General features: G+C 34.9%; 1 protein-coding gene across 16 annotated transcripts in view; it reads left to right on the top strand.

Moving 5' to 3' along the window:
• Nucleotides 1–12,263, top strand: part of MGAT4D (MGAT4 family member D) — a 56,032-nt gene that overhangs the window by 30,504 nt on the left and 13,265 nt on the right. For 10 of the 16 annotated variants that reach the window (XM_011531665.4, XM_011531658.4, XM_011531656.4 and 7 more), the window contains 4 exons: nt 2,781–2,894; nt 5,786–5,861; nt 8,164–8,278; nt 11,071–11,201. In XM_011531665.4, the coding sequence (XP_011529967.1) occupies nt 2,781–2,894; nt 5,786–5,861; nt 8,164–8,278; nt 11,071–11,201 (436 nt within the window). Of the gene's footprint in view, nt 1–2,780; nt 2,895–5,116; nt 5,301–5,785; nt 5,862–8,163; nt 8,279–11,070; nt 11,202–12,263 lie in introns of those variants that run through there. The other 6 variants (XR_938697.3, XM_011531654.4, XM_011531650.4 and 3 more) reach the window with 6 other exon arrangements.

Raw genomic sequence — 12,263 nt, 5'->3', positions numbered from 1 at the left:
TTCCACTCTTGTATGACTATAAGGTAAAATCATTCATTTTTAATGGCAACAACCTAGAGTTATATTATTTTCTCCAGTCATTGGAAACTAGCAATTCCCATATAATTAAGTCAAGGGCTTTTGATGCTGTATATAAATAACCTAACAAGCTATAAAAGTTTTAGAGAGTCCTAGAAAGGTGTCAACACACAAAATTTCAAGTATCTTGCTTAAAACAGATTGAATAAAACCAAGACTGGAATCTTTCTCTCCAACATGACTGGGGAATTATATCATCAAAGTAGAAATTGTAACGTAACTTTTGGTGCTTTTTGGACTTTGGATGGAATTTTCTAGAGGACAAAATTTGTGTATCTCTGTAATCTAAACTTTTTGATGATTGTGTATGCTGCAACTTGATGTTATTTCCCTTTACCTCTACTAAATTGCCGCACAAGATCTTGTAGTTTAAAGTTACACAAATTCATTTAAAAATTTAGATATTATGTTACTAACTTTTACCACAAAGCAAACAACCAAACTCTCCATTCTTTTTTTTTCTACGCCAGTATTTTCTATTCCCCAAGGAACATATTAGAATTCGTTTTTTAAAAATCTTTTCATTTGATATATCATAAAATCAGAGGGCAGCCAGTAAGACTTTCATCCCCTTCACTCCTCCACTTATGCTCCCACCAAAATAAATGACCAAAAACTTTTCCACTAATGTACAGAGCCTGGGAAGAATTCCAGCATGTATTTTGAACAGTTCTTTCCCCCCAAGTTTTTAAGTTACTATTCCAGTTTTACAGATGAGGAAATTAAAGATCAGAAAAAATAAATTACTTCCTTGAAGTTAGGAAGTAAAACAAGCAAAATTGGCACAGAGACTTTTCTAGGTCTAAAACCCATATTCGCTCTAGCACAATATGCTATTCCAACCCCATTTTCGTGATACATACCCATTATAAAACATGAGCTTTCTTCCATGTGTGTTTGTGTGTGTTTATATATACTCAGGCAATCCTTGATTTGCAAGATAGCATGGGGCCATAGAAATGATTGTGCAAGTTGAAACCGTGCAAGCCAATATTAACAAACAATGGGAAAAAAATCACAATTGTTCCATGACCTTTAAACGTATGTTAAAACATTACTCTCTGTCAACTATAAATACATAGAAAAATGAAAAATATTGTTAAGCTAATTTATTACACTGTAATTTAAAACATTAAAATTATTGAGTATTAATGATTTGATTTCTTTTAAAAATTTTATCAAGAGTAATTTAAATGGTCCTTGCCTTTTTCTTATCACAGAACTTAAAATACTGAGCAAATGTCTTTTCTATGCTTCAGCAAATTGTTATACTCCTTTCTAAGTTTGGATCAGTTCCAGCATTTTATCATTTGTGTTTTCAATGTCATGAAATATCTCTGAGAGTTCCTTTAATGTGAAGTTTTTCAGCAGCATCATTTCCTATGTGACATAATTTCACCACAACCATTTTTCTTATTTGTCAGTTAGGTTCACCTTCACTAAGTTCCCTTTGTTGCATCTCTAGAGTCTCTCAAATAGAGGAGGTGTCAACATTCCCATGATCAGCTCTTTTACGGCACATCCAAATTCACTACCAGCATTCACCTTCTGCACTTTCATCTGTCAGCCAATTTCCTCTTTGGATTACCTACTTTTGTTAAATATCATGTAGGCTTATCACTGGGAGGCGAGGCAAGACAACCACATGTTTTGCTGTCAACAGGTGAACTAAATAGTAGATGTACAGTGACCAGTCACCAAAAGACTTTGAAAGAAGTGATGCAATTAGTCACTAATGATGATGTGCATCTGCTATTTATATAGTGATTTGTGCATTGAAGAGCTAGCAGTGAAGTTTGTACTTTACACAATTGTTCACAATATATCATGACTACAGTGTTGTTGTGGGAGACTGGTGTTATTTAACTAAAACACAGTAACTGAAGTTTATACATTCAGAATTGTACAAAGCAAGGACTATTTTGCCCATAATGGAGATTATGCATATAAAACTGTAAGCTTTTAAATTTTTTATGTAGTACAAAATAAACATTTCCTTGAACCTTTAACATGTTAATAAATAATGTAATGCCTAAATTCCAATCTCATTTAAAATCACATTATCTCTAAAGGAAGACCATTTAAAATTTTCTACTTGGTTTCCCATCCTTTACCTTGATGGTACAAGATTTATATTGGAATTTTTGTGATCATATTTTATGTAGTTTAGTGATGACCTTGTTGATCTATCACATTAACGTTTAAAAATAAAGATGCTAAAGAGTACACATAGTCCTCCAATGAGTGGTGGACAAGAGTCTGACTAAATCCTTGCTTGCTGGGGTAATCTAGTTTCAGGAGCCACATTGCTATTCAGTAGGACTCTTATTAAATTCAAAATTATGCATTTAAAAATCATCAAATATTCTTGCTTTCTTGCAGTCACTGTGTTCTCATAATCCATGAGTTTCATTGTTTCAAATGTCAGAGTACACATCTGGCTATAAACTTTAAAAATGTCAAAGTACCTGTAATTTTTATAAGAAGAAACTAATTTTATATTGTGTATTTTAATATGTCTGTTATTAATTTATAAAAAAATGCTTTGGCTAGTTTTATGATGCTGGTATCATGTATCAACATGTGAAATAATTCAAATCAAATATTATGTGGCCATGCATAAGAAAATTATTTTTAAGTATTTATGTTATTCTGGAAAATTAAATATTCAATTATAAGTCTGCATTTACTTCTATTTATAGATTCAAAAGGCAAGTGAGGTCTGGATCCTTAGAGGTCATTTCAATACCTGCCTTTTTATACTCAAGCATGTTAAATGCCAAGCACTTAGCTGAGGCCTCACAAAAATTAGCCAGGTATGTCATATTAGAAAATAGTAGCCTTAAATAACTAACTTCATCTGATAAAATCTTGGAATCAGCTCATATTAGAAACTATTTCAGACACAGTGGTGTTCTGGAGCTGGCTTCTACTGGGTTGCAAGACCCAACTATGTGCATCACTTCCCAACTCTGTATTCAATAACATCGAGTTGATAGCATTAGCCACAGTAGGAGTATTTATACCGTGGAAATGGGCAAAAGCTACAAAGCAGGATGTCCATCCCTCCACCCCCAAGTCAGTTGTTAAACATTTACCAGCACACCACTGATGGTCTATGTTCACATTTACAGACAATAATTAGCAAAGGTATAATAATGAGGAGGGGGAGAGCCTGGGATTATAAATCATTAGAGCTGGATTCTAGTCCCAGCTGTACTGTTTGCTGGTCATTGTAGGCAGGTAATTTCACCTTTTTTTCTTAGCTTTCCTAACTTTCTAGTGTGTATAATGACACCTATATTGCATAATTGGAAGAGTCATTATGAGAATAAAATACATTTGTGAAAGAATCTTAAAAAATTAAAAGCTCTATACACATACAAAGGATTATAATTTGGGGTATTAGTGTGGTAAGTATTATGGGAAATGTAATAATTTGGTCCCTCAAAACTTAATAAAGAAAAAGACATGCCAGAAATCAGAAAAAGGTCTTATCCCAGGAAACTGATTAGCCTTCTTTTGTGTTAAAATTATAAATGGTGTGTCAGAATCTAGGAATCTTTTAAGCGTTTTGTTTTGCTTTTAATTAGTGGTCCACATTATGCCCAGTTTTTAGAGTCACAAAGGTGGGAGTCATCCTGGATCTTTGTTTTTCCTTCAGCCTTTTATATCTCTGTCATTGTTTCTTTTTTAAAATCTCTCTACACATTGTCCCTCTCATCCTCCTTCCATTGGCTTGGATTTAGTTCAGGCCTTCACCATTACAGAGTCCCTACTCCTAGCCTAACCTAGCCTCTCTTACAATTCATTCTTCATGCTGTACCCAGAAGAATATTTTCTCATATGAGATCAAGTCCAAAGTTTCCCACATATCATAAAATATCCTTCATGATCTGGTCTGCCAACCTTGCAATCATTAACTTCCTTCTGTCAGCTCTCTGTGCCCTAAAACTAAGTGGCATGCTCTTCCACCCTTTCCACAACTTTGAAAACTTACTGTAAGATAGCCAACATTGTTGATATCTTCACGTAGCACTTATCTAATTGTTATAATTTTATTATTTTTTTTCATATGAGGTTATGAGACACAGAAGGGCAAGAATGACCTTGGGTACTGCTTTTTTTATATTCAGGACCTGGTCTGGTTTCTAGCTTAGTATGAGAAAAAAGTTTCTTTGGGTGAGTTTATATCCAGGCAACCCTACGAGCAGGGATGAGCTCTTGCCCCAGACTACAAGCCTCCCCACTGAGAAAGCAAGCAGGGCTCTCATGCCTCACCCCTCCCTGCCTGCCCACACCTTCGCACCTTTGGCAGTGGCTTCTGTGCTCATATCTGCATTTCCCATTCACCCTGCCCCCAGATTATGCTCAAGAAAATTTGTGCTCAGTCAAAATTATTACAAAGTTCAGCTAGGAGTTTCCTTCACCCTGTGACCCCTCCCCAGTTCCACTGGCTGCCTTCCCTTCCCCAAAGAACTCTGTGAGATAAGGCCAGGAATGACGTCCCTGGGCTGGGGTTGGGGACCAGGAGTGCCTACAGGGCTCTTCCCACTGCTTCGTCTACTTTTATATTTCTCTTGGCTTCCTAAATCCATTTCAGCTCTAGGTAAGGCTAAATCCTTCTCTCGTGTTCTGGATTTTCAGGTTCCTCAGTGGGGATGTGTGTATGGAGGCCAACTTTTCCCCCCTTACACTTTGGGAACTCGCAGTTTTTCAGCCATCTCACAGAGGTTGCAGTGGCAAGCCAGTTCTTTCAAAGGGTTTGTGAATTCTTTAGGTTTTCCTGGTATGTTGCTGCAGTGTTTCTTGAAGCAAACGTTCACAATGTGAGTCTCCAGGCACTGTTCTGCCTGGCCAAGCAGGAGCTGCGCATTAGTCCTGTCTCCTATCCGCCATTTTTTTGCTATAATTCTCTCCTTAATTCTTTTCAGTTATCATTCAAAATTTTTGACTCCCTAGAGTTCAAATTGCCCCAAATTTGGCCACAATCAATCCGCTGGAGAGTAGTAATTCATACAATTACTCCATTCCCTAGGATTGGGAGAGTTGGGGCAATGTGTGCTCACGCATTTCATCAGAGGCCAAACATAAAGTCACTTTGTGAAGGGAGTTAACATTGGGTTTCTTCAAGAGGACCATGAAGAGTTCCAGAGCTTGTGGAGACTACTTTCAAAATAAAAACAAAAAAAGCCACCTTTCCTTTCCAAGTAAACCAAGGGGTAAGACTTAGGGGAAATGGTTTAAAGACCCGTAAAAAGAAATATTAATACTCTGTAGCAGATAGTTAACCCTAAGAATTGGGGAGAAAACTCTTGGATGATAGAATCAATAAAGAAAGCTGTTAGTAGAGACATTGAAAAAAGAATAAAGTTTCTTTATACTTTCATTTGAACAAGACCTAAAATCAGAAAGAATATTAACACTATTATCTAGATCAAAACTTATCTAGATAGAAATGTAAAACAAATGGGTTGTGCTTATCCTGGTTTAGCAATGGTAGACACTGTTCATTGAATAAAGATGGAAAACTTTTTAGTATAAGATATTCAATTTTACTTAATTGAAATTAATTAAGTAAAATTAGTTACTTAATTGTAGCTAGTACTGTTAGTAAACTGCCAAAGAGTTTTTTAATTACTAAAGTATGCTTATAAATAAAAATTAATAATGACAAATATTAACAGATCTTATTGATTACCTTTAGTTGGCGAATCAAACAGGTATTGGATTTTTGCATTTTGTTGCTGTATGCCCAACCCAAGGCCAAGTATTATTTACAGGTCAGAAATTGTGTGTGTGTGTGTGTGTGTGTGTGTGTGTGTGTGTGTATACACCAATTATATCTGTAGATAGATATAATTTAAATTGAAAGTGTTACTTTCTCCCTCCTTCCTATAATTTCTTCTTCCTCATTGTATTCCTCCACCTTACTTTATATTCAGAAAATAGAAAATACTCACTGTATTAAAATGCCAAAGGAAGTTTAAAATTGATTATATATGAATATTCTTACTAGGTTCACTGTTACAGAGAAAATTATAGTTACCTGAAGCAAACTGAAAAGAAAATCTCAAAAAAACGAAATTGTATGCCTATATTTATTTCTTGGCTTACAATTTTATTAGATTAAGCAAATGCATTTTAAGCATTTGTCAGACATTGTATACACTTATCATTGCTACCCTAAATTTACTCATAATACTTTATGAGTAACACAGTTCTCAGTGCCTTACTGTATTTGTAAAAGTAAATAACTTATATATAGTTTGTACCCTATAAATCTCTCCACATTGTTAAATAATAATGTTGTGTTTCTAAATAGTAAGTATGGACCACACTACATAGACAATGTGCTCTCATTCAAAGAATTTGCAGAAGAGAGTTGTAGACTAGAGAGAAAGTTAGAGAAAGGCCTAAAGCAAGGTCTTCTCTTTCATTGGAAGAAAAAAAAGGTCTCTTTTGATTCCTAGTTAGTGGCAATGTCATGAAAACACAAGATCCAGCCAATGTACTCTTCCCAATTTGAAACACCACAGTTCTATTCTGTGTCCTCATAGTGTGCCTGAGGACTGCCACATTTTTCTTGATTACTTATGAGGCCCTCTTAGTCTACAGATTATGCATAATATATATTAAATAAAAAAGAAAACTCATTTCCATTGCCCTGTCTCTCTTATGGAGGATATTTTTAGGCTTACACCATTATTCTAACCAGCTAGTTGTGGAGTTGTGGATGAGAGTGCTGGTTGCTTTTTGGCTTCTCTTTGCTGGGAACTATCTGGAGATAGAACGTGGCACCTTTCATCACAAGCATAAAGCTACTTAGTCTTAGCTATGGTCTGAATGTTTGCATCTCTCCCAAAGCCTCCCAAAGTTTTGTTTTTGTTTTTTTGTTTGTTTTGTTTTGTTTTTGAGACAATGTCTTGCTCTATCGCCCAGGTTGGAGTGCAGTGGCACAATCGCGGCTCACTGAAGCCTCAAGTAGCTGGGACTACAGGTGCACACCACAACACCCGACTAATTTTTTGTAGTTTTTATATAGGCAGGGTTTGGCCATGTTGCCCAGGCTGGTCTCAAACTCCTGGGCTCAAGCAATCTGCCTGCCTCATCCTCCCAAAGTGCTTGGACTATAGGCGTGAGCCACGGCTCCTGGCCTCCCTCCCAAAATTAATATGTTAAAATTCTCACCCCCAAGGTGATAGTATTTGGAGGTGGAGCCTGTGGGAGACAATTAGATTATGCAGGCAGAGCCTCATAAATGGGATTCGTGCCCTTATAAAAGATACCTCAGAGAGCTAGCTAGCCCCTTTTACTGTGAGGACACAGTGGAAGACATCATCTATGAGGAATAGGCCTTCAGCAGACATAAGCCTGCTAGCACCTTGTTCTTGGCCTTCCCAGGCTCCAGGACTATGAAATATAAATGTTTGTTGTTTATAAACTACCCATTCTATGGTATTTTGTTATAACAGCTCAAATGGACTAAGACAGTCTTAAACTAGAAACTGAAGTATTTGTGAGGATGAAAGTGGATTTAGATAAAGAGACTCTTTCAAAGAGGGATTTAGATGGAATGTTTAGTATTTAGGAAAGAAACAGATACTCTCTTGTCTGGTTAATCTCAGAATCAAACATGGAGCAGGGTGTGGTGTCTCATACCTGTAATCTCGGCACTTTGGGAGGCCAAGGCGGGAGGCTCACTTGAGCCCAGGAGTTGGGAGGCCAAGGCAGGAGGATCGCTTGAGCCCAGGAATTCGAAACCAGCCTGGGCAGCATGGTAAAACCCTATCTCTACAAATAATGTAAAAATTAGCCAGACATGGTGGCACGTGCCTGCAGTCACGCAACTGCACTCCAGCCTGGGTAACAGAGTGAGACCCTGTCTCAAAAAAAAAAAAAAAAAAAAAAAGGAAATCAACTAACTGTAAATACCTTCAATTAATTGAAACTGAAATAAAATTATTATTTTATAAAACCATTTTCTTCAGTATATTCAGTTGTATTTTTTATTTTCAAGCTAATATAGCTTTACTCAATGGAAGCGTCAAAGATATTAATGTCTTTTTGGGTTTTTTTTTTCAGCTAGAAGATGATATCATAGCTAAAGAGATGTACTTTACAAAAATAACAGATTTTGTAGGTAATATCAGTTCAAATAATTGGTTTTTTATTGAGTTTTCAATGCTTGGATTCATAGGTAAGCAATGGATTTACTTTGTTGGATCAAGTTTTTTAGCACACAATAATTTAAAACATTTTAAACAGTTTATCAGTTTGTTTATTACTAAATGAAAAAGAATGGCATGATTTTTATAAAGACACTATTATCTTAACAGTATAATCAGATGCAAGTACCTAAATTCCAGATAATGTATTTTCTTAACCAAACTTTTTTCTAGAGAGATCAAATTGACATTTAGACACATAAGTCATAGAAACATAAAAGAGTTACCATTTATTAAATGCTTGCTGTGAGTCTGGCACACATGTTAGCTGAGTAGCTAAGATGTACTTTTCTCTGCTTTACAAGAATACTGAAACTCAGATAATTAAAATTGTAGAGAAAGGGACTTTAACTCAGTCGCTGCAATTTCCAGTATGCTAAAGCTGACAGTCTTAAAAAATATAAAAACATAATAAAAATTATACCCACCACAGAAAATTTCCAAATACTATACCCATTATGAGATCTTTTTTACTACCCTTCCTTAGATTTTCCTTTTAAATCCTTCAATTTTTCTTTCTTCACTTCCATGCTTTTTTCTTTCCTTTGAACCTCAAGTATTACCATACTGCTTATATTATGGTGCATGACATTATTGATTCATACAGGAGCTCTTCCTTATGTATTCTTTCCTTTTATTCCCAATCCCTACACCCTCTTCCTGCCACTCTTCAATATATTGTTCACTCTAATATGTTCAAAATACACTTATAAATATACAATATCCATGTGAAATATTTGGTGCTTTTCATGTTTGTATATTCCTATTCCTTACATTTTTGTCCTCAAAACTTGATTTCTAAATTATCAGCATGTTGTTTTATGTTCATTTAGTTTATTGGTTTTTTACTGCTACATAAGTGCTGCATAATGATGGTCACTGAAATTTATGCATTCAGAATTGTGCAAAGTGAGGACTACCTGTTTTGCACATAGAGATCATGCATATAAAACTGTAACCTGCTTTTAATTTTTTTACGTCAACAATCCCATGATCAGCTGTCTTATAGTCACATCCAAATTCACTTCCAGCATTCACTGTCTGTGCTTTCATCTGTCATCCAGTTCTTTCTTTTGATTACCTACTTTTGTTAAATGTCATGTGGATTTATCATCAGAAGGCAAGGCAAGGCAACCACACGTTTTGCTGTCTACAAGTGAACTAAATCTGGATGCACAGTGACCCATCACCAAAAGACTTTGAAAGAAGTGATGACTTATCACTTATCACTCACATTTGGCTTATCTATTTCCTGAGTGGCAGACCTTAATTGCTTCCAATTTTCTGCTGCCATGAAAAAATGAAGTGACATATATGTCCCCTAGAGTGGACCACTGAGGATTCACATAGCTCTAAGTACTGCCAATTGCTTTACAGATTGGTTATACGGTTTACGCTCTCATAAGCAGTGCGTAAAAGTTCGTGCTTCCCCATATGCTTGACAACACTTGGTTTTATCTATTATTATATGTATATATTTGCCATTCTCAGTATAAAGCATTTCTGGGATTGCTAGTGAGATCCATCTGTTTTTCATATACTCACTCGATGACTTTTGTTTTTCATGTTTTCTGTAAAATTTTAAGGGCCCAAAGGTTTTTCCTCAGCCTTGGTTAAAATAAGAAGGAAAATTATTGTTAACAGTAATACCCAAAGTAAGGCATGCAGACAAAGTAATCTTGCTGATGGATTAGTCTGAGAATTTAAAATTCTCAAAAAAATTTATCTTTCTCAGCAAAGTCAAGTAAGAGACACATAGAGAATGCTTACATTCTGATCACAAGAGCACATTGAACAAGGAGCACTATTTATGGGATGCCAAATCTTATTCAAGTTTTAACTTACAAAAGTTTTTCTTTTAGTTATCATAATAGCAATTCGGTTATTCATTATTTGCTAAAAATATGAGCTTGCCAACTAGAATTTTACAGCATGGTGACAGCAGGTTAGGAATTGAATCAGCTATTTTATACATCATTAAATCACTTGCTTTGGTTACTACATAAATAGGTGCAAAAAATTAAAAAATTAAAATACAATTATACATTTTATTAAGTGACTCATATAAACTTAAGTTCTAGTGAAGAATGAAGCATGCTTACATCCGACTTTCATATTTATCAAATCATTAGATGTATTTTACATTATTTACTTTGAAGTGAATATGTACCTGAATCTTATCCCTTCAACTTCATTTTAAAATTAAAGATGCAGTATATAAGAAAAAAACTATTAGACCTAATGGAATAATATTTAAAAATATAGTAAATCTTTAAGAATAACAAATATAAAAGAAAAATAACATCCTGTTAAAATAATGCTCAAATACTGAAATGAGAGTACTTTAATAAAATTAAGTACTAACAACGAAAAATGTAGTAGATTGATAAAGTGCTACAAAAATCAGGTAAAAAATACAGTTTGTACAAAATTAAGTAAAAGATTACAACGCCTATATATTTCATTCTATTCACTTGTCTTTCACTTGATTTAGACAATCAATCCTCATGAGTTATCACAATTGATTTCCTGAGAGTATTGACTATTCTAAACCTGCTTATATTCTCCTTCAGATGTGGTAATCCTTAATACTTAAGCAGATATAGTGTTTAATTTTATCATTGTCTAACTTCAGCAGTGCTTTAATCTTTATTTCTAAGGAATGGGACATATTTAAATTTTAATAACTTTTGCTTTTTCCCATGTTAAAGGAATGAACAACTACATATGAATTATTTGCATCTAATTGTATTTTTTTCCATAGGAAAGCTGTTTAGATCTGAGGACTTAACTCACTTTGTACGGTTTTTTTTAATGTTCTACAAAGAGAAACCCATAGACTGGCTCTTGAATGACATTTTTCAGGTAAAGGTGTGTGACGCAGGAGAAGATCTTGTGAGTATTTACTTTATGAATACCAAATATTTTAGGAAAAATATTATCTATCCAACGTAATTACCTAAAATTTGTTTACCAAACCAAATCTGATAAATGCACCAATTTTTAAAATTTCTAATATCCCAAATTTTGATCTTTCTACCTATTAAATGAAGTAATGAGAGACCCCTAAAATGCAGTGAAAAGTAGAAACAGAGGGACAAAAACAGAGTGAACAAATAGAAAAAAAAATGATAGACGTAAATTCAAACATGCCAATACTTACATTAAATATAAATGATTAAAATACACTATTAAGAGTTCATCAGGGTAGATTTTTCAAATGATGCAACTACTGAAGTCAATACTCAGTTCAAATATTATAGATAGGTTAAAACTTGTGGATGAAAAAAATATATACCATACAAACACAAATCAAAGGAGATTTGCAGTAGTAGCTATTTATTTATTTATTGAGACTCATTCTGTAGCCCAGGCTGGATTGCAGTGGCACAATCACAGCTCACTGCAGCCTCAACCTCCCTGGGCTCAGGTGATCCTCCCACCTCAGCCTCCTCAGTAACTGGGACTATAGGTGCACGCCACCATGCCCAGCTAATTTTTGTATTTTATGCAGAGACAGGTTTTTGCCATGTTGCCCAGGCTGGTCTAAAGCTCCTAGGCTCAAGCCATCAGCCCACGTTGCCCTCCAAAAGTGTTGAGATTACAGGCATAAGCCACAATGCCCAGCTTGTAGTAGCTATATTAATATCAGAATACACTTAAAAGCAAAGAAAAAAACAGTCTAGGGATCAAGAAAGATGTTATATATAATAAAAGGGTTAATTTACCAAGAAGACAACAGAGTCTTGAAATACATGAAGCAAAAACTGACAGAACTAAAAGAAAAAATAGACCGATCTACAATTACAGTTGGAGATTTCAACTGTCCTCTCTCTCAGTGATCAACAGAACTGATAGGCAGAAACCCAGCAAGGAGACAAAAGAACTGAACAACACCATCTGCCAACTGGATTTAATTGACATTTAAAAACCACTACATCCAATAACAGTAGAAAA

Source organism: Homo sapiens, chromosome 4 (genome assembly GCF_000001405.40).
Source record: "Homo sapiens chromosome 4, GRCh38.p14 Primary Assembly".
Taxonomy (NCBI): Eukaryota; Metazoa; Chordata; class Mammalia; order Primates; family Hominidae; genus Homo; species Homo sapiens.
The sequence above is the reverse complement of the archived record's forward strand: the minus strand, read 5'-3'. Positions and strand labels throughout refer to the sequence as shown.